Source organism: Homo sapiens, chromosome 11 (assembly GCF_000001405.40).
Source record: "Homo sapiens chromosome 11, GRCh38.p14 Primary Assembly".
Classification (NCBI taxonomy): Eukaryota; Metazoa; Chordata; class Mammalia; order Primates; family Hominidae; genus Homo; species Homo sapiens.
In genome coordinates, this window is record NC_000011.10 from 90850947 (window position 1) to 90874661 (window position 23715).

The 23715-nt window shown below is 33.8% G+C and overlaps 1 long non-coding RNA gene and 1 other non-coding gene across 2 annotated transcripts in view; one reads left to right on the forward strand and one right to left on the reverse strand.

The window, feature by feature from the left end:
• The window catches only part of DISC1FP1 (DISC1 fusion partner 1), a 663821-nt gene that overhangs the window by 599715 nt on the left and 40391 nt on the right, over nucleotides 1-23715 (forward strand). Inside the window, exon 6 of the long non-coding RNA NR_104190.1 lies at nucleotides 1670-1761. This is a non-coding gene — a long non-coding RNA (DISC1 fusion partner 1). The remainder of the gene's footprint in view (nucleotides 1-1669; nucleotides 1762-23715) is intronic.
• Nucleotides 18175-18256, reverse strand: MIR1261 (microRNA 1261). Its single transcript, NR_031663.1, has one exon. It is a non-coding gene; the product is annotated as a microRNA 1261 (primary transcript).

The window sequence follows — 23715 nt, forward strand, 5'->3', positions numbered from 1 at the left end:
ACCTGGGTAATGTATATTTTCCTCGCTTGTGATATATTTTCTGGTCATTAACCATGGTGCTCTCCCAACTCACAGTTAATTCATCCAAACTGGCTTGCATCCTCTGGGGCTAAAGTAGGAAGTTTGGGCCTACTTATGACTGCAGGAAATGCCATTTTGTGTATTTTGAGATAATAGAAAAACTGATGGTTTAGATATTATAAAATCCTACAGTCTCTTGAAAACAGTATACTTCACATAAGGTATGATGATAAAAAATACAACAAAGATTTTTTTACACAGATCCACCAAAGCAAGCTCAGAGACATAATATGATTATGGAAAATTTATACTGCCATGTAACTGGATATTGTAGAGAGAATATACATAAATATTTGAATTAGATTTAAAGGCAGTGAAATTTAATGCACTGTATATAATTTACTAAAATAATTTTTCTGCTGACTCAGCACTTGGAAGATTACTTGTTTGAAAGAGAGTGTAAGAAATAAAGTTCTGGATAAAAATGCTCTCTTTTTATCACCTATTCTACAAAATACAGTTATATTTATGGCTGGAAGTTTTACAAACTATAGATTTTGCAGCTGCTAACTCTTGAAATGATTGCCTAACATTACAGTATTTAGGAAGTGTAAATTAGGATTCAATGCTGTCAATAGTTGCAGTAATACTTTCTTACATATATAGACAATTTGATTTGCATTCATAAAAATAGAATGCAAATCATTCCCCACTTATCACATAGAAACATGAAAACATAGTTCTGTCTTCAAATCATGAACAGAAGCACATAATTGTCAATGTGCTTACTTGAATAAAGGTATGTAAAAATTTGCATTACAGCTTATTTAACTATTTTACTTTTTCTGAAGTTGGTTCTCATTAATTATATAGTATTCTGCCACACTAGATTGTGGGCATTAATGAACAAGTTTCAGAAAGTCATATTCACCTACTATTTAAAGAACATAGTTTTCTTATGTTCGAATGATATATTTTTGCAATATATCATATTTTAGAAAGCTCTATAATGCACTGGAATGTAGTTAGCATTCATATATATGAGAAATTGGAGGAGGATACATTGTTGGTGAAGCTATCACAAATTTAAGATGTTAAAAAAATTCTATTTTAATAATTATAATAATTTTTAAAAACTGCCCAACTACCAAAGTGGGGCGCTGATCTTTTTCTGGTCTAATAACCTGAGTAAAATATAAGAAAACAATACATCCAGGCATTGTACAATATCCAATAGAAGAATGTGACAACTGAAAGAAGGAGAACTCATGAGGTAAGCTGCAAAATCATCCTGGCTTTCTGTAGAAGATTCTCCAATGGCTGCAACATGCTAAAGTAAAATGAATGGGACTGATTTCTGTGCACTGCACCTGCTGAATGTAGCAAAATGATCATACAATTTTTTAACATTATTATGTTGAATTGCATTGATTTTTGGAAGTTAAACACTGTTTTGGAATATAAATCTAACATGAATATGATATATTATCCTTTTTAATATAGTTCTTTGATTTGCTAAGATGGTTAGAATTTACATCTATTTTATGAATGACACAATTTTTCTTTCTTATAATTTATTTTATGTTTTTGTATTAATGATAACCTCACAAAATAAGTTTGAAGTATTTTCTCTTTCTATATTCTCTAGAATATTTTCTGGTAGACTGATATATTTCTCCTAAAAAATTTGGAAAAATTTTGTGATGAAGAAGCTACCTGGGCCTGAAGATATCTTTTCTGGTAAGATTCAAATTACAAATTCAATTGCTATAATAGATACGTAGATTTTCTAATTCTTTTTGCATCATTTTTGATATGTTGGGTACTTTGAGACATTAATCAATTTCATCCAAAGAAAAATGTTTGTAAAAATATAAAAAGAAAGTACACTATATAATTTTCATGCATTAATACATATGATAAATTTTCATTTATAAATTGTTAGTGTATAAATGTGAGAAATTTTGAATATTTTTAGTTTTTTAATGTTTGTTACATATGATTTTCAAATGCATATTTATAACAATACCTGTTCTGTTACAGAGATGACTCATGTTGGGTCTTGATTTCAAAGGTTGATTTATATTCAAAGAAAATTTTCTTCATAGAAAGAATTTTTAATTACACTTTGGAAAACACTCTTGTTTCAGTCATAAAACAAATGATATTAGCTGTTGATAGAATGAGAGAGCATTTCAAGAAACATAATCTATAGAATTAGATAAATTATTAAAGGGTAGTTCCTAATTAGGCTTATAAACATCAATAATTAATAATTCCCCAAACTCATAACAAAAGTGCTTTATTCTTTTCAAAGAGTTTTCTTTTTATTTCCGTATTAGATGCTCACATCAACTCTCTGAGGTAACTTGGGAAAACATTACCCTCATTTATTGGGTGAGAAATGAATTCTTGGGGATGTGTGCAGTTTGTTTATTATATAAATACTATGAGAAGAAAGGTTCTCTGAATCCCAGGGCAGCTTCATCATCAGAGGGCTAGCGTGGAATTAATGTAAAATTCTAACATTTCACTGTGTGAACCATGCTTTTCTCCAGGTCCTTACAACGTATAATAGTTTATAAATCCAAGCTAACAAATGTGCTACAATTAAAGTAAACCAAATGAATCAAAATAAATAAAACAAAACAAACAACAACGAGAATACAACTATCATGACAGAAATCTCATTAGGAGAGAATCTGTGAATCATTTAGGGAGAAAAATGATGGAGTGCTCTGTATTGAAATAATACGCATCTCTACAGTCAACAGTTAAAATAGGAAAGAAGGAAGGGAGGGAGGGAGAAAAGAAGGGAGAAAGGTAAGGTGAAAGGAAAGGAAGGGAAGGGAGATGCTCAGAAAAGGAAAAACAAAAGGTATTTTCCAGTGGGGGAAAAAAAACAAATTTTTATTTGCTCTATTTCACTGAAGAATCTTGATTAATACAGGTGCTATTTTTTATTTTTATTAAAAAGTTATTTTTTCTTTTCTTTTATATATTATGGAGATCCATCCAGCCCTTCTGTTTGCTCAAAGGTGGATGTGGCTCATTATTGGCAGAACTGTGTCCACTTAGGCATTTCAGATCAAATACAATTCCTCGTCTTATAAACCTGAAGTTTGTAAGGTACCTATGATAGTTATGTTTTATGGAAAGATAGGTTGACATTCAGAATATGACTGGACAGCTCATGTAGGTCTACCTAGAGAGAGAAAATAGACTGATTATGAGGGGTGCAAATGTTGTTCCTGTGACAATTATAGTTCTCATAGTGAGTTAATCACTTGCCATTCTGAATTTATAAGTGTCTTCAGAGCTTGCTTCATGTGTAGATACCTCTGACATATTTATTAATGCCCCTTGATGTGCTGATGAATCAGTGTGCTGCACCAGGAAAACAAGGGACCAGATCTGAATCTTAATACATTAATCAATCAAAAAAGTGAGTTTAACCCCTAGAGGCCTCTTGGTAGTATTCTTGGGTGTATCAAACAGACTATGCGGATGAATAGTGTTTTTGAGGAATCAACATTCCTCTTTTTTTTTTCAAACATGAGAGCTCAGCATTTTTCTTTTCTTTTCAAATTTCTGCCCATAAATGTAGAATGCAAAGGAAAAGAGAAAGTTGAGGAAAACGGGTATTGCAACAGTACAGATAATTTAATTTTTAATTTGTTTAAAAGAAATTCAAATTAAATCATCTCTGATGGCTTATCTTTGATATAGCCTATAGTACAGTAACAAGCACTAGAACATAAGATGTTCACGGATTGTAATGTTAAATAACACAACATTGAATCCCTAAAGTCAAGCATAAAATCTGCATATGGTAGATGCTTAATAGAAATTGCTCACCAGATATTCATTATCATTAAATAACCCTCTTAATGAACTATTAATCATAATTATCTAATAAACTATTATTTAATGATAGTGAAGATGCCTGATTAATAAATACCTTAATTGATAAACTGATAATTGTATTAATTTTAAATTTAGTTTTAAATTGAAAAATGAAAATTTTATTTATCATCGATGTTGAACACAGTACAGTGCTGAAGAGACATGAAGAGACATACATATTAGGTAGGTTGTATGTACTCTTGCTCTTTCATAGTCCCTATTATTACTTTTTAATGTTTTCTTTTGGTTTAAGAGGGCTGACAAGTCACGTTTTTTCCTCCTCTGAATTTGTAATCAAACTGAGAATATAACAAGCATCTGTTAGGAATAAAAACAGTCAACGCTGGTGTTATGACTGGATTGAAAACCTTAGGAGAAGGAACAAAGCATGGTGGCTCTTTATTTTTCATCATATTGAATGTAAACTGTCTGTGATCTTCTCTGCTTCTGTTTCCAAATGGTAAATATTCTGGAGTCACAACTGACTTTTTACAAATTTAAAATACTTACTATGATTCAACATGCTTGGTGATTCTAGCAAAAGCTGTAATACAATAGATTAGATTATATCCTAGTAAAGTATACATTCCCAAAATTGATCCAAGAAAAGAGAAAAGCACACTAAAATAAATATACAAATGATTTTAGAAGAGATTGGAAAGGTGATGATTAAAGAGTGCATGTGTGTGTGTTTTGTATAAAGGCTCCAGGACAACATAATTTCATAAAAGAGGTTTATCTAATCTCTAAAAAAAAAAAAAAAAAAAAATTATCCTGAAACTTAAGTATTCCAACTAATCAGAAAAGGTAAAAGTTGACAGCCAGGCGCAGTGACTCATGCCTGTTATCCCAGCACTTTAAGAGGCCAAGGTGGGTGGATGACTTGACTTGAGGTCAGGAGTTCAAGACCAGCCTTGCCAACATGGTGATTCCCCGTCTCTACTAAAAATACAAAAATTAGCCGGGTGCGGTGGTGCACATCTGTAACTCCAGCTACTCAGGAGGCTGAGGCATGAGAATCACTTGAACCCAGGAGGCAGAGGTTGCAGTGAGCTGAAATCACACCACAGCACTCACTCCAGCCAGGGTGACAGAGTGACAGTCTGTCTCAAAAATAACTAACTAACTAACTAACTAAATAAATAAAAAGAAAAGAAAAATGATAAAAAAAGATAAAAGTTTTTTTTGTTTGTTTGTTTTAGGCAGTTACCTATTTCTAAATACTAAAACATGAATAAGATGGAGAAAGAAAACAGAGAAAGAATACCCATTGAAAAAATAGATGTGTAATTTTTAAATAAAACATTAGAAAATAGTACCTAGCAAAGTATAAAAAGGATAGAAATTATTCTAGGAATGTGTTAATTTTTCCATATCAGAAAATGTATTGCCATAATAGATTACATCATTAAGCTGAAGTGCAGAAAAGCCATACACTTTATCTTTCTGTCAGAGAGATTTTTTGTTTCCTTGTCTTGAGATTCCAACAATTGTACAAGGTATGCTAAAGTCTTTTAAAATAAGTGCTGTCTAGACCACAATTAAAGCTTCAATTTGACAGTATAACGTCTTGCTTAAGGTTAGAGAAATCTCTTTCTATAGTTTTTTGCAATATTACCTTTTTTTGGTATGTTGAGAGTTTTTTTACTCAATTTCTTTAAGCAACTAATTCAGTAATAGCCATTTACTCTAACTTATCATATAATTGTCTTTTAAAAATCTTAAAATCATGCATTTGTTAGTTTGTATTCAGTAGTTCAATCTCTTTAGTTGCAACTTTATTTTAGTAGGAAACATGCAATATGGAGAGACTAAAAGGAATCTCAAATTTGCAAACCTTGTACCTGAAAAAGACATATCAGAATACATAAAAACTTTCACAACTCAAGACAACAAACTATCTAATTTTTAAAATGGCAAATGATTGGAAAAATAAAGACCTCACTAAAGAAGATATATCAATGGAAAATACGCACATGAAAATGTGTTCAGCATTATTAGTCATCAGAAAATTCAATGGGGTTGTTTGTTTTTTCCTTATGAATTTGTTCAAGCTCCTTATAGATGTTGGATGTCAGAACTTTGTCAGATGCATATCTTGCAAATATTTTCTCCCATTCTATAGGTTGTCTGTTTGCTCTGTTGATAAGAGTTTCTGCACAGCAAAAGAAACTAAGTTAAATTGTGTTCCATTTGTCAATTTTTGCTTTTGTTGTATTGCTTTTGGCATCTTTATCATGAAATCTTTGCCAGTTTCTATGTCAACAATGGTATTATCTAGAAAATCTTTGCCAGTTTCTATGTCAACAATGGTATTATCTAGATTGTCTTTCAGAGTTTTTATAGTTTTTGGTTTTACATTTAAGTCTTTAATTCATCTTGAATTGATTTTTTTGTATATACTGTAAGGAAGGGGTCCGGTTTCAATCTTCTGCATATGCTAGCCAGTTATCCCAGCATCATTTATTTAATAGGGAGTCCTTTCCCCATTACTTGTTTTTATCAGCTTTGTCAGAGGTCAGATGGTTATAGGTGTGCAGCCTTATTTCTGAAATCTCTCTTTTTTTCCATGGGTCTATGTGCCTGTTTTTGCACCAGTATCATGCTGTTTGGGTTACTGTAAAGGACATCGAAACTTTTCAAAAGAAGATATACTTGCAGTATACAAGCATATGAAAAATAGTTCAATAACACTGATCGTTAGAGAAATGAGAAAACATCTCATACCAGTCCAAATGGCTATTAGTACAAAGTCAAAAAATAACATGCTGGCATAGATGCTTAGAAAAGGAAATGTGTATACACTGTTGGTGGGAATGCAAACTAGTTCAGTCATTGTGGACAGCAGTGTGGTGATTCCTCAAAGAGCTAAAAACAGAACTACCATTTGACCCAGCAATCTCATTACTTGGTATACACCCAAAGGTATATAAATTATTCCACTATAAAGACACATGTATGCATATGTTCATTGCAGCACTATTTACAATAGTAAAGACATGGAATCAACCTAAAAGCTTGTAAATGGCAGAATGGATAAAGAAAATGTGGTACACCAAGGAGGAGCTGGTACCATTCCTTCTGAAACTATTCCAATCAATAGAAAAAGAGGGAATCCTCCCTAACTCATTTTATGAGGTGAGCATCATCCTGATACCAAAGCCTGGCAGAGACACAACCAAAAAAGAGAATTTTAGACCAATATCCCTGATGAACATCGTTGCAACGATCCTCAATAAAATACTGGCAAAATGAATCCTGCAGCACATCAAAAAGCTTATCCACCATGATCAAGTGGGCTTCATCCCTGGGATCCAAGGCTGCTTCAACATATGAAAATCAATAAACGTAATCCAGCATATAAACAGAACCAAAGACAAAAACCACATGATTATCTCAATAGATGCAGAAAAGCCTTCGACAAAATTCATCAGCCCTTCGTGCTAAAAACTCTCAATAAATTAGGTATTGATGGGACGTATCTCAAAATAATAAGAGCTATTTATGACAAACCCACAGTCAATATCATACTGAATGGGCAAAAACTGGAAGCATTCCCCTCGAAAACTGGCACAAGATAGGGATGCCCTCTCTCACCACTCCTATTCAACATAGTGTTGGAAGTTCTGGCCAGGGCAATCAGGCAGCAGAAAGAAATAAAGGGTATTCAATTGGGAAAAGAGGAAGTCAAATTGTCCCTGTTTGCAGATGACATGATTGTACATCTAGAAGACCCCGTCGTCTCAGCCCAAAATCTCCTTAAACTGGAAAGCAACTTCAGCAAAGTCTCAGGATACGAAACCATTGTGCAAAAATCACAAGCATTCTTATACACCAATAACAGACAAACAGAGAGCCAAATCATGAGTGAACTCCCATTCACAATTGCTTCAAAGAGAATAAAATACCTAGGAATCCAACTTACAAGGGATGTAAAGGACCTCTTCAAGGAGAACGATCTTCAAGTAGAACTACGAACCACTGCTCAACGAAATAAAAGAGGACACAAACAAATGGAAGAACATTCCATGCTCATGGATAGGAAGAATCAATATCGTGAAAATGGCCATACTGCCCAAGGTAATTTGTAGATTCAATGCCATCCCCATCAAACTACCAATGACTTTCTTCAACAGAATTGGAAAAAACTACTTTAAAGTTCATATGGAACCAAAAAAGGGCCCACATTGCCAAGACAATCCTAAGCCAAAAGAACAAGGCTGGATGCATCATGCTACCTGATTTCAAACTATACTACCAGGCTATAGTAACCAAAACAGCATGGTACTGGTACCAAAACAGAGATATAGACGAATGGAACAGAACAGAGCCCTCAGAAATAATACCACACATTTACAACCATCTGATCTTTGACAAACCTGACAAAAACAAGCAATGGGGAAAGGATTCCCTATTTAATAAATGGTGCTGGGAAAACTGGCTAGCCATATGTAGAAAGCTGAAACTGGATCCCTTCCTTACACCTTATACAAAAATCAATTCAAGATGGATTAAAGACTTAAATGTTATACCTAAAACCATAAAAATCCTAGAAGAAAACCTAGACAATACCATTGAGGACATAGGCATGGGCAAGGACTTCATGTCTAAAACACCAAAAGCAATGGCAACAGAAGCCAAAACTGACTAATTAAACTAAAGAGCTTCTGCACAGCAAAAGAAACTACCATCAGAGTGAACAGGAAACCTACAGAATGGGAGAAAATTTTTGCAATCTACTCATCTGAAAAGGGCTAATATCCAGAATCTACAAAGAACACAAACAAATTTACAAGAAAAAAACAACCCCATAAAAAAGTAGGCAAAGGATATGGACACTTCTCAAAAGAAGACATTTATGCAGCCAACAGACACATGAAAAAATGCTCATCATCACTGGCCATCAGAGAAATGCAAATCAAAACCACAATGAGATACTATCTCACACCAGTTAGAATGGCGATCATTAAAAAGTCAGGAAACAACAGGTGCTGGAGAGGATGTGGAGAAATAGGAACACTTTTACACTGTTGGTGGGACTGTAAACTAGTTCAACCATTGTGGAAGACACTGTGGCAATTCCTCAAGGATATAGAACTTGAACTACCATTTGACCCAGCCATCCCATTATTGGGTATATAACCAGAGGATTATAAATCATGCTGCTATAAAGACACATGCACACATATATTTATTGCGGCACTATTCGCAATAGCAAAGACTTGGAACCAACCCAAATGTCCATCAGTGCTAGACTGGATTAAGAAAATGTGGCACATATACACCATGGGAATACTATGCAGCCATAAAAAAAGATGTGTTCATGTCCTTCGTAGGAACATGGATGAAGTTGGAAACCATCATTCTCAGCAAACTATTGCAAGGACAAAAAACCAAACACCACATGTTCTCACTCATAGGTGGGAATTGAACAATGGGAACACATGGACACAGGAAGGGGAACATCACACACCAGGGCCTGTCGTCGGGTGGGGGGAGGGATAGCATTAGGAGATATACCTAATGTAAATGTCGAGTTAATGGGTGCAGCACACCGACATGGCACATGTATACATATGTAACAAACATGCACGTTGTGCACATGTACCCTAGAACTTAAAGTATAATTTAAAAAAAAGAAAATGTGGTACACATACATGAAGGAATACTATGCAGCCATAAAAAATCCAGATTATGTCCTTTGCAGGAACGTGAATGAAACTGGAGGCCATTATTTTTAGCAAACGAATGCAGTAACACCAAACCAAATACTGCATGTTCTCATTAATAAGTATGAGCCAAATGGCTAAATGATGGGAACACATGGACACAAAGAGGGGAACAACAGACACTGAGGTCCACTTGAGCTTGGAGAGTGAAGAGGAGGGAGAAAATCAGAAAAAAAAAAAAACTATTGGGTACTAGGCCTAGTACCTTGGTGCCAAAATTATCTGTATAACGAACCCCAGGGACACGAGTCTCTCTATATAACCAAACTGCACATGTATCTCTGCACCTAAAATATGAGTTTACAAAAAAGAAAATTCAATTTAAAACCATAATGAAGTGCCATTACTATGAACCAATAGAACAACTAAAATGAAAAAGGATTAACCATACCAAGTGTTGGCAATGATGTGAAGTAATCAGAGCTCTCGTATACTGCTGGTGAAAAAGTAAAATGGCACAACTACTTTGAAAAACAGTTTGGCATTTAAAAAAATTTAAATAGCATATAGTAGTCATTCTGCTCCAAGGCATTTCAACTAGAAAAATAAATGAAAGCATATTTATTCTCACAAAAACATATACATAAACGTTCATAGCAACTTTATTCACAAATACCTAAAAGATGGAAACAAACCAACTGTCCATCAACTGGTGAAGGAATAAACAAACTAACTGTGGTATATTCATATGAAATAATACTCAACAATAAAAGACAATGAAGTATTAATACATGATCTTTAAAAACTTTGTTAAAATAGTGAAAATAACATTGCTGAGTCTCTAACCTATGTTAATGAGTGAAAGGAGTCAAGATGAGAAAATGGTACCTATTTTCTTATTTCATTTATATAAAATTATGGAAAACGCAATCTCATCTACAATGACAGAGAGCAAATCACTGTTTGGGGATAAGGGGAAGATGTCCAAAGAGATTATAAATGGGAATCAGGAAACATTAAGGAGTGACTGACATATTCATTATCTTTATTGTGGTCATAGTTTCATGAGTAAAATCAGTTTCTAAAACTATGTATTATATATACATATGTGTATATATATTTATTTTCTTATATAGCTTTCATTATTATTCTACCCCGTCTTACAGATACCTTCATATATATTCCTCTAGATGTTATACAGTATTAGCTTTTAACATTTCGGTCTATGATCCATTTTTAGTTAATATTTGTGTATGGTATAGGGTAAAAGTTATCAAGGTTCATTGTTGAATATGTATGTCCAAAAGTTCAGGTACTATTTGTTAAAAATAATAATATTTTCCATTGAAATACCTTTTTTTTCAAAAAACAATTAGTGTGTATGTGTCGATTTTAGCATGTTCTAATCTGTTTCATTGATCTTTCTGTCAATCTTTACAATAAAGCCAAATTGTCTTAACTATTATTTGCTTACGGTAAGACTTAAGATAGATAGTGTCTATTTCATTTTTCCTTTATTGTCGCACTTATTTTGCCTCTTCTAGGTCTTCTACATTTTTTTATGCTAAATTTTAGTATTAGTTTGTCAATTTTTGTAAAAGAGCCAGCTAAGGTCTGCATGAAAATGCAATTTAATCTACAGATTAATTTAGAATAACTGCCGTCTTAAAAATCTTATTAGATATGCTTCATAAACAAAATATATCTCCCCATTTACTTAGCTCTTTAATTTATCTTATCAATGTTCTGTTATTTTCAGCATGCTTATCAATTTTGTTAGATTTATCAAATATTTCATCAATTCAATTTTCTATTGTTCCCTGCAAGCATATTATGGAAATACAGTGAATTTATATATATTCACCCTGAATCTTGTAACCTTAGTAAATGTTATAATTAATTATAGTAATTCATGTGTAAGTTATTTGGGGTTATATTTAAGCAATCATGTAATAATTAGAAATTACTACAGGTAAATCAAAATAGATTTTTTAGGTTGATTCCATGTCTTTACTATTGTGAATAGTGTTGCAATGAACATACATGTGCATGTGTCTTTATGACAGATGATTTATATTTCTTTAGGTGTATACTCAGTAATGAGATTGCTGGGTCAAAGAGTATTTCTGTGTTTAGATCTGAGGAATTGTCATACTGTCCTCAACAATGGTTGTACTAATTGGATGGAGCTGGAGGCCATTATCCTTAGCAAAGTAACAAAGGAACAGAAAACCAAATACTGCATGTTCTCACTTATAAGTGGGAGCTAAATGATGAGAACACATGGACACAAAGAGAGGAACAACACACACTGGGGTCTATGGAAGGGTGGAGAGTCTGGGGGGAGGGAGAGGATCAGCAAAATTAGTGGGTGCTAGGCTTAATACCTGGGTGATGAAATAATCTGCATAACAAACTCCCATGACACAAGTTTACCTATGTAACAAACCTTCCAATGAAGCCTGAACCTAAAATAAAAGTTATAAAAAGAAATTTATCTTTTATCTTTCCTTTGCCCTTTAAAATTTCCTTTCTGGACATTGTGCTTACTCAGATCCTGATACAATACTGTACAATAGTGGTAAGAGAGGGAGCTATGGACAGAATATTTGTGTTTTCCCAAATTCCTATGTTGATGCCTAATCTACAATGTGATGATATTTTCAGGTGGGGCCTTTGGGAAGTTATTAAGATATGATGGTAGCGACTTTATGAATGAATGGGACTAAGCCCTTATTACAAAAGATAGAGTTTGCGTTCTCTCTCTCTCTCTCCTCCCCACCCCCCCTGCCATGTGCGAATACAAACAGAAGATGGCCATCTACAAAGTACACAGAGGATACCCACCTGTCACCGGATCTGCCAGCACCTTGATTGTGGACTTTCTTGTCTCCAGAATCGTGAGACTTGTTTCTGATCTGCGTGGGAAAGAATTCAGTATTTCTCCATTTAATATGACATTAGCTATAGATTTTTTATATGATATTAGCTATAGATTTTTTATAGATGCCTTGCATTAAAGTGAAGAAGCTTCATTTTCTTCCTAATATTCTGATTTTTTTATCATAGATATGTTTTATCTAATTTATTGAAAAAATAATTTCAAAAATGTGTGGCCAGGCACGATGGCTCACACCTGTAATCCCAGCACTTTGGGAGGCCGAGGTGGGTGGATCACGAGGTCAGGAGATCGAGACCATCCTGGCTAACATGGTGAAACCCTGTCTCTACTAAAAATACAAAAACTAGCCGGGCGTGGTGGCAGGCACCTGTAGTCCCAGCTACTCAGGAGGATGAGTCGGGAGGATGAGGCAGGAGAATGGCGTGAACCCAGGAGGCAGAGTTGCTGTAAGCCTAGATTGCAACACTGCACTCCGGCCTGGGCAACAGTGCCAGACTCCGTCTAAAATAAAATAAAATGTGTTTATATATGTACACAGGTAATCAAGTATCTTTATGTCTATATGTGTAGTATCCATACATATTTAAATAACTGCATCGTTATGGGAATTTATCAATAAGTCAGCCAGAACAAGTTTTGGAAAAAAGTATTGTAGTCTCCAAGAAGGGACTGAAAATCGAAAGTCAACCTAGTTTTCTGGTCACAAAGTCTCCTCTCTAACCCATACTCACAACTGCACAAAGGCAATGCTCTAATATTAAAGGGGAAATAAAAATAATTTAGATATCCATTTCAAATTTCAAATGCATGCATTTAAATGAAAGAGCATAATCCTAGAAAAATTTACATCACCAATGTGTCAGTAATATGAATAAATCCCATTTTGTAAGCATTAATAGAAATATAACACTAAAGAAATACATGTCTCTAATTACTTATTCAGTATATTAATCCAAAGTCAAGACTTACAAGATCCACAAACCTAAGTAAAGTAGACAACAAATGGTGAACATCGGTATTAGTTTTTGGAACAGAGTTCTACTTAGATCCCTGGGTAACATAACATGTTCTAAAATTACTTGCAGAACATATCATTAAAACAATGTCAGGCCTTTTTTTTTTTTTAACGTAGAACAAGTAAGTTTTTATTTTACTTTTTTCAGTTTATTTCAAAGCTGGTTTATTTCATTAAATCCAGCTCCTTATGCACAAAAATGTCTTTGAAGAGTGGAGTCAATGCTCAATGAAAAAAAAAATCATTTTAAAGGCCTCCAAGGGAAGCTATTCTGTAATTTCCTTTGATAAACCATCATAGTATATAATAATCCTCATGACTGGAAAATTTACGTTTCTATTTTACATAAAATTCATATTCCACAGTTTTAGCCTGAATTTTTCTCTTCTGTCCTTTCAGACAATAGAACACATATTTTTAATTTATTTGTATATGGGGACCCTTGATATTCTGAAAAAAAAATAAATTTATATCTTTCTTTCAATACATATATTCATTTTTTTTTTTTTTTGACCTCGGAAGAGGAAAGGGTCCAAGGCTTACTGGAAGGCAGTACATGGGAAGAGAGTGGGTGAGCTCAGCAACATATTTGGTCTTTGTCCTGTGGCATCTTTGCCTTAATTCTCATTATTATAGTTGGATCTTATTCTCAGGCCAGGCACTTGTATCTGCCTCAGAATAATTACTGAGCTTTGAGGGCATTTTTTGCAGTGTCTATGCTACCGCCAACTCCCTCTACTTTCATCAGCAAAATGTAAGGCTTTGCAGACAATGCAATATGTGAAAAGAAATAACACATATCATCAGAACCAACACTAGTCAAGGGTAAAACTTTAAGGAAACACATTCCTTTAAGGAAACAGAAACACACACACACACACACACATGCACGTGCACACACATACACGCGTGCGTGCACACACACACCATGTTCCTTATGAGGACAGTCTCTCTATATATCCTATTTACTACTTTGTATTTTTCGGGACATTTCTTTATGCATATACATCTTTCACTCTCATACTTAAAATATAAAAAATAAGTAAGTTTTTAAAAATCCAATTAACTTTTTCAACTATGACTTTTTCAAACCTTTGCCTTTGCATACTTTGTCCCTAGCACTTTAACACTATTTGAATATTTTATAAATCAGGAACTTTCCAGTATATAATGAAAAGCTACAAACCTACACAGTTCCTCCATTTTCATTTAACAAATAATTATTGAGAATATGCTAGCTTTTGGGAAAACACTGGTGAGAAAATATAGTACCTCACTCTGTTTTGTTCTCATTTGGAGTCATTGGACTTTCTGCAATTTACTTGCCTTGTCCTATGCTCCAATACTGGAATTTTCCTACAAATTGACCCTGGATGTCCCCACCAACCCCCACCCAACCCCTGACTTTTGGTATTGTGTTGTCTCTGGAAAAAAGCCTACACTCCAATTCTGTCCCCATGGTCAACATCCCACCTTAATCAGATTTTATTTTTCCCAGCACATATCCAATAGTCCTCTTAAAATGGTCCTCCTTATGCATAAACACATACAAACTGACACTAACAAACAAAGCCACAGGGCCTATTTAGAGAGCCTAGATAACTGACAATTCTACATGTTGTAACTTCTAACTTTCCTCTCCTCATTCTACTAATCATCTTGTCTTCTGTCACTTACCTCCACCTCCTTTCTTTGCTTTCATCATAGATTCTCTCTCTCTCTCTCTCTCTCTCTCTCTCTCTCTCTCTCTCTATATATATATATATATATATATATATATATGAGTGTGTACGTGAACATCTAAGTAGGAATTTATTTTATTGCCTTTATATTATTAATCTGAAAATATCTTGGCTCTTGACTTCACAATCTGAAAGCCATAACATTTCTGCAATTTACTTTTATTGCTTAACTTTGTCTTTGTTGTTATATGTTTAGTATTTTATATTCACTCAGAGACCATGGCAATGGGTGCACTTTTATAAAGCTAAAAATTAAATGAATAAATTATAAATGAATATCGTTTCCTGTACACAAGCCCAGAGACTGAGGAAATGGCTACATTTTCAAAACCAGAATATAAATAATCATTTTTAAATCTGGGTGCAGAGTACATTTATGTAAATTACGTTCATTATTTCACTTTACAATTTTAAAATGTCATCTTCTGTATCTAAAGAAGGCATCAGGACTGTTACCCCAAAACCAGAGGTAAAAATGGCCCATGTTTCCATTACTCATTCTTATTATCATACTTTCTCAGAAATGGATTTGTAGTGTCACTTTCTCTGGTTGTTATATCTTTGCCAAGAAAAGGAGATGTAAGAATTCTAATGTTTGATACCCAACATGAAGACAGGTAGGATCACCTCTTGATTGGGCTATAACCTTACTGTGGAAGTTCTCACTTGAGAGATCCCAGCAAAGACTACTATGTGGGATTCAGTAACCAAACAGCCTCCCTTAAAGCACTGTGGCCTGCTTCTCTCACCAAAACACTAGCAAAATTAGGTTTTACTGTAGAGACAAAGATTGCAATGTGATGTGGCACAACATAAATACATCCTTGTAAGAATGATGGCAAGGAGAATTGCAAACAGTCAAGAAATCTTCCCAATTTTTGTTATCACCTGATGATGGCACCTTAAGAGTCTCCTCCAAAGCTCTTCTTCCCTCTGCAAAATAGTTATAGATTTTTTTTCATTCTCCATTCATTCTTGCTTACAAAACTGAGAGCTGTAATTCTTACAGCCTTCATTCTCCCCATTTTTACTGGAGTTATATGTTCATAGGAGACATCTTTCTGAGATGGTACTGAATAACAAGGTGAAAATAACTAATAAACATTATATAGAGTGAACATCAATCATGTCATTAAGAGCAAAAAAGTGTTTAGAAATATGTTTCTTTGTCTTTTCTATTTCACGTAATACTGATGCTTTGGGTAGTGGGGGGGAAACACTCCCCAAGGTTTTTTGCTGCATCTATCTTATAAATGATTCCCTTTGATCAAAATCTAGTGCAAGCTCACCTTTTTTAGAGTCATAGAGGCAATGATTTCATATCACAGTATTTTGACTCTTGACAGCTCAGTGGGAGTAAGGAAAATGAGGAGGGGGATTATGTAAAGGAGAGGAAAATGTTGGGGAGAGGAATTCAAAGTCAGGACAAAGATGACAGGCAAAGCATGAGAGCAGCTGTACAAAATGTTACTTGCTCTCTTCTAGAGATTGGTGTGCTGGAGTGAATGACAACTACTAATTAAAATGGTGGCTTATTATCATGTAAGAAGTGACACAATTTGTCTAAGACCTGGTGTAAAAGATGAATCACTTTTATTTGTAGAAAATTCTAATTTAAAAATATGCATTTTTAGATGAACATCTGTGGTGTTTTTGACAGGAGACATGTGATAATTAAAACCTTTTTTATTTTCTGACTGAAATGTTCATATTATATTTTTGCTGTGTGCCAATTTTTATATTTCTATAAATAAGAACAAAGCAAGTTTTCTAGAACAACTAGAAGTTTATACGATTTATAATTTTTAAGTCCAAGTGTCAAAATTAGATACCTAAATCATGATTATAAGTTTGTATATTGCCAAAAAATATATTGGATATTAACTTTCCAACTTAATGATCTCTTTTTTTTAAATGGATTTCTATTAAAGCAGATGAATTGGTCTTTTGCAGGACAAATGTACGTTACTGTTCTCAAAACACTTACTGCCTGGTGCTTTTTTTTTTAACTTTTTGAGAGCTTAAAAAAGATAGCCTTGGATTTGCTCTACTTTATACATATCTTTCACAGTTAAGAGAATAATTCTCAAATTATACACATGCGGCAAGTAATTTTATTATTCCAAGTAAAATATGTATCTCTCTGATACCAAACAGTTGTTTATGATTTTCAGAATTTGTCAGGATAAGTTAAAGCATGCCATAAATGGACAAGAAAATGCCTCAATCAGATAAACAATAATACTAAATAAGCAGATGTTAATATAAAAAATAAAGGAATAACTTATTTTATTGCACTTCACTTTTTGGCCCTCTGCAGATGTTGTGTGTGTATGTGTGTATGTGTGTTTAACAAATTGAAGGTTCATGGCAATTCTGCATCAAGCAAGTATATTGACACCATTTTTCCAACAGCATGTGCTCACTTCATTTCTCTGTGCCACATTTTGGTGATTACTTCTAACATTTTCATTACTATTATGTCTGTTACAGTGATCTGTAATCAATGATCATCAATGTCACTATTGTAATGGTTACAAACTTAGCCCATATGAGATGGGAAACTTAATTGGCAAATGTGTGTATTCTGACTGCTCCACAGACCAGCTGTTACTGCATTTCTCTCCCTCTCCACATGTCTTTCTATTCCCTGAGACAAAACAATATTGAAATTAGTCCAATAATAACCCTTCAATGGCCTTTAAGTGTTCAAGTGAAATGAAGAGTCACACATCTCTCACTTTAAATCAAAAGCTGGAAATGATAAAGCTTACTGAAGAGGGCATGTGGAAAGCTGAGGTAAGCTGAAAGAGAGGCCTAATAGACAAGTTGTGAAAGTTAAAAAAAAAGTTCTTGAAGAAAATTAAAAATGTTACTTCAGTGAACACGCAAATGAGAAGAAAGCAAAATGGCCTCACTGCTGCTATGGAGAAAGTTTCAGTCATCTGGATAGAACAGATCAACCACAATATCCCCATAAGCCAAAGCCTTATCCATAGCAAGTCTCTAGTTCTTCAGTTCTATGAAGGCTGAGAGAAGTGAGGAAGCTGCAGCAGAAAAGTTTGAAGCTAACAGAGGTTGGTTCATTTGGTTGAAGGAAAGAAGCTTTTTCTGTAATACAAAAGTGTAAGGTGAAGTAGCAAGTGCTGATGGAAAAGCTGTAGTAAGGTATCTAGAGCTAAGATAAATGATGAAGGTGGCTACACTTTCCAACTGATTTTCAATGTAGACAAAACAGACTTATATTTGAATAAGATACCATCTAAGATTGTAGCTAAAGAGGACAAGTCAGTGCTTGGCTTCAAAGTTCCAAAGGACAAGCTGACTATTTTTAGGGGATAATGCAATTGGTGACTTTAAGTTGAACCCAATCCTTACTATTCTGAAAATCCTAGGGCCGTTAAGAGTCATAATAAACTATCTCTGCCTGTTCTCAATGGAACAGCAAAACCTAGATGGTAACTTGTATGCTTACAAAATGATTTACTGAACATTTTAAACCCACTGCTGAGGCCTGTTCCCCAGAAACTAGAAAAAATTCCTTTCAAAAGATTACTGCTTATTGATAATCATGTGCTCATCCAAAAGCTCTGATAGGGATATACACAAGGTACGTTTTCATCCCTGCTAATAAAACATTAAATCTGCAACACAAGGATCAAGGAGTAATTTAAGCTTTCAAATTCATTATCCAAGAAATAATTTTTGATATAATTCCTCCGATGGACCTGGGCAGAGTAAATTGAATACCCTCTGGAAATACTTCATTATTCTAGATGGCATTAAGAATGTTTATGATTCAAAGGAGAAGGTCAAAATATCAACATTAATGGAAGTGTAAGTGAAGTGAATTCCAACTCTCAGGGATGCCTTTGAGCGATTGAAGACTTCAGTGGGGAAAGTAATTGCAGATGTAATAGAAATTGCAAGAGAACAATTAGATGCGGAACTTGAGGATGGAACTGAACATCTATAATTTCATGATAAAACTTCAACAGATGTGGAGTTTGTTTTTATGAATGAACACAGAACATAGTTGCTTGAAATGGAAACTACTTCTGGTAAAGATGCTATGAACACTGTTGAAATGACAACATATTTAGAATATCACATACACTTGGTTGAAAAAGCAGCAGCAGGGTTTGAAAGGATTGACTCCAATTTCAAAAGAAGTTTTACTGTGAAATTCTACCAGATAGCATTGTATGCTTTGGAGAAATATGCATGAAGGAAAGAGTCAATCAATGCAACAAACTTAATTGTTTTCCTATTTTCAGAAATTGCCACAACCATTCTAACCTTCAGCAACCACCACCCTGATCAGTCAGCAGCCATCAATATCGAGGCAAGACTCTTACAGCAAAAAGTCTATGACTCTCTGAAGGCTTAGCTGGTTTTTAGCATTTTTAGCAATAAAATAAAGGTATGTACATTGTTTTTTAGATGTATTGCAATTGGAATTATTTTATATGCACTAGAAAACCAGAAATAAAAAATATGTGACTTACTTTATTGTGACATTTGCTTTATCGCAGTGGTCTAGAATAAACTTGCACTATCTGCAAAGCATGCCTGCATGTGTATTAAATGAAAACAGCACAGTTTAGCTTGGTATTTTATTTTGTCTTAAGTTCTTTTTCCAAGCCATATCTTTAGGCCTCTACTTCTATTCTCAAAGCAGTTTATTTCGATCTTCCCTTTCTAAGAAGTTTGTTGCTTCCTCATTTTTGTTGTCTTTGCTGTTATTTCTACACATATTTTAACCACACTGTCAAGACTGAGCACATTATGTGTGTTAGGGGTATGAGGAGGGAGTCAGTGAAATTAATGCATGCAGGAAAGATGTCGGAAGAACAAATCCAATAGAGATCTAAGGCAAGTGGCATAGGAAATACTGCCAGCAGACAAGAAGGTAGAATATAAAAACTAATATTTAAGATGTTTCCATTTACTTCCAGGAACTGTACTAGCTGTTTGACAGAAAGTATCTCATTAAATCCTCAATAAAACAGTGTAATATATTCATTATAATTTCTGTTGTAAAGATAAAATTTTTAGCTCAGAGAAGTATTCTATTTTTTACAATCACAAAGGCTATATAGAAATTACAGCTTTAATTCAGATTATATAGATTTCAAATACATGTGTCCCTTTCCATAATACACTGACTTCTAAGTAAAAAGAATAAATAAAATAAAGTTTTGATGTTTTAAAACTTCTTCTTCAATATGTATCCTTGTCTAATAGCTGGAATGCATCCTGTGACTTTGACTGGCAAAGGAAAAGGATATACCAGAACTTACTTTTTAAATATAAATTAAATATTAATACTTGAACTCCTTTCTCACACCATATATGATAATTGACTCAGAATAAATCAAAGACTTAAATGCAAGAGTTAAAACTAAAAAACAAAAAATAATCTCAGAAGAAAGCATGGAGAAAAATTTTCACAATCACATTTGATGGTGGTTTCTTAGATGAGATACCAAAGGTATAAGCAACAAAGAAAGAATAGCTAAAATGAACTACAATAAAATTAACAGTTTTTGTGCTTCGAATGATACCATTAAAAAAGTGAAAAATAAAGAGAAAATATTTGCAAATCATATATCTATTATATGACTTCTGTGTAGAATACAAAAACAACTATTACAACTCAATAATACAAAGACAACCTAAGTAAAAATTGACCTGGCTAGACATTTCCTCAAAAAGAATATACAAATGGACAATAAGCACATAGAAAGATGCTCAAAATCATTATCATCAGAGAAATGCAAATCAAAAGTTCAGCAAGATACCACCTCATACCCACTAGGATAACTGTAATAAAATATCAGATAATAACAAGTGTTAATGAAGATGTGGTAAAATAAGAATCTTCTTTCATAGCTAGAGAGAATGTAAAATGGTGCAGCCACCTTGGAAAACAGCCTGAAAGTTGCTCAAAAAGTTAAGCATCAAGTTACTATTGGACCCAGCAACTCTACTCCTAAGTAGATTCTGAAGAAAAAAATGAATGTAATTGTTTATGTAAAAACATGTACACAAATATTCATAGCACTTTTATTCATAAAAGACAAAAGGCAGAAACAACTCAAATTTCCATCAACTGATGAATGAATTTTTAAAATGTGACAAAGACACATCAGACAAAGAAAACTACAGGCTAATATCCCTGATTAACATGGACACAAAAATCCTCAACAAAATACTAGCAAGCCAAATTAAGCAACACATTACAAAGAACATTTGTATGACCAAGTGGGATTTATTCCTGGTATCCATGGATGGTTCAATATATGCAAATCAAACAATGTGACACATCATATGAACAGAATGAAGGACAAAAATCATATCATTTCATCTGATGCTGAAAAAGCATTTGAAAACATTTCAACATCCTTGCATGATAAAAGCCCTTAAAACACTGGGTATAGGAAGAACATAACGCAATAAAAGCCATGTGTGACAGAGCCACAGCTAGTATCATACGGAATGAGGAAAACCTGAAAGCCTTTCTTCTGAAATCTGGAACATGACAAGGATGTCCACTTCCAACACTGTTATTCAACATAGTACTGGAAGTCCTTGCTAGAGCAATCAGACGAAAGAAATAAAGGGCATCCAACTTGGAAGAGAAGAAGTCAAATTATCTTTGTTTGCAGATGGTATGATGTTATATTTGGAAAAGCCTCTTGTCTAAAAGGCAATAAGAAATTCTGGCAACGATGTTGAGAAAAAGGAATCCTCATACACTATTGGTGGGAATGTAAATTAGTACAACCACTGTATAGAACAGTTTGAATGTTCTTCAAAAACTAAAAGTAGAATCACCATCTGATTTAGCAGTCCCACTGCTATGTACATACCAAAAGGAAAGAAATTCAGTATATCAAAAATATATCTGCACTCTCATGTTTATTGAAACACTATTCACAATAGCAAAGATTGAGCAGTAACCTAAGTATCAATCAACATATAAATGCATAGAGAAATATGGCTATTCAGCCATAAAAGAATGAGATCCTTTCATCTGCAACAACATGGATAGAAATGGAAGTCATTATGTTAAGTGAAATAAGCCAGGCACAGAAAGACAAATATCACATGTTCTCACTTATTTGTGAGAGCTAAAAGTTAAAACAGTTGAACTCATGGAGATAGAGATTAGAGGGATGGTTGTAAGAGGATGGGAAGTGTAATGGTGGAATGTGGTTAATGGGTACAAAAATGAATAGAATGAATAAAACCTAGTATTTGGTAGCACAACAGGGTGACTATAGTCAACAATAATTGTACATTTAAAAATAAATAACTAAATAATTATAATTGGATTGTTTCTCACACAAAGAATATGTATAAATACTTGAGGTGATGGATATCCCATTTACAGTGATGTGATTATTATAGATTGTATGCCTGTGACAAAATATCTTATGTACCTCATAAATATATACACCTACTATGTACCTACAAAAATTAAAAAATGAACACATATCTACAATGACCTATTATTCAGACATAAATAAGAATGAAGTACTGATACATGCTGCAATGCAGATGAACCTTCAAAACATCATGCTAAATGAAAGAAGCCAGTCACAAAATATTGCATATTATATTATTCTATTGATATGAAATGTCCAGGACAGGAAAATCTATAGGGACAGAAAGTATATGAGTGGTTGCCTAGGGCTGGGGGAAAGGGGGACTTTGGGGAGTGATAGATAAAGAGTACAGGGTTTCCATTTGGGGATGATAAAAATGTTGTAAAATTGATTATGGTAATGATTTCACTGTTCTTGCTCTTTTAAGTGCATTTTGTTGTAATAAGCGATTTGAATTATTGAAATAAAATGCAGGCTTTGAAATCATGCCAGCCTATATTTGCAGTCTGTAAATAACACCTTCTAGCATAAAGGGAATGGATTTAAAGTCAAAAGTCAAATCTATTAGAAGTGACCTCAGAAGACATAGAAAAAGTAAACTCGTGTATAGACAGTATCAAAATAAATAAAAAAGCGGGGAAAAAATTCCTAAAGCCATGTTAAAATTTAAACCCCTAGCATTAAACAAACAAAAATAAAAATAATGCCCTTTCCTATGAATCTGGATCTAGTCTTAGACTCTTTCAAAGAGAGCATCTCAGGAAACTAGCTTAAGATAATTAAGGATGAAGAACATGATGCAATACCTTTTGCCTATTAAACCTTGGGTAATTCAAGACTTTTAAGTTCAGTTCATACTATATGCCAGGCCTGAGGGTAAAATGAGTGATACATTATTCATGCCCTAAAGAAGCTCAGAGTAGAGCTCTGGGAGTGTGTGTGTGTAATACACACACACAATACACATACACACTAATTTTAACAGTATGTTCCATGTGGGAGCAGATCCATTACCTCTAGTATGATTCACTTCATCTAGTGGGCATGGGGTAGAGTGGAGTGGCTA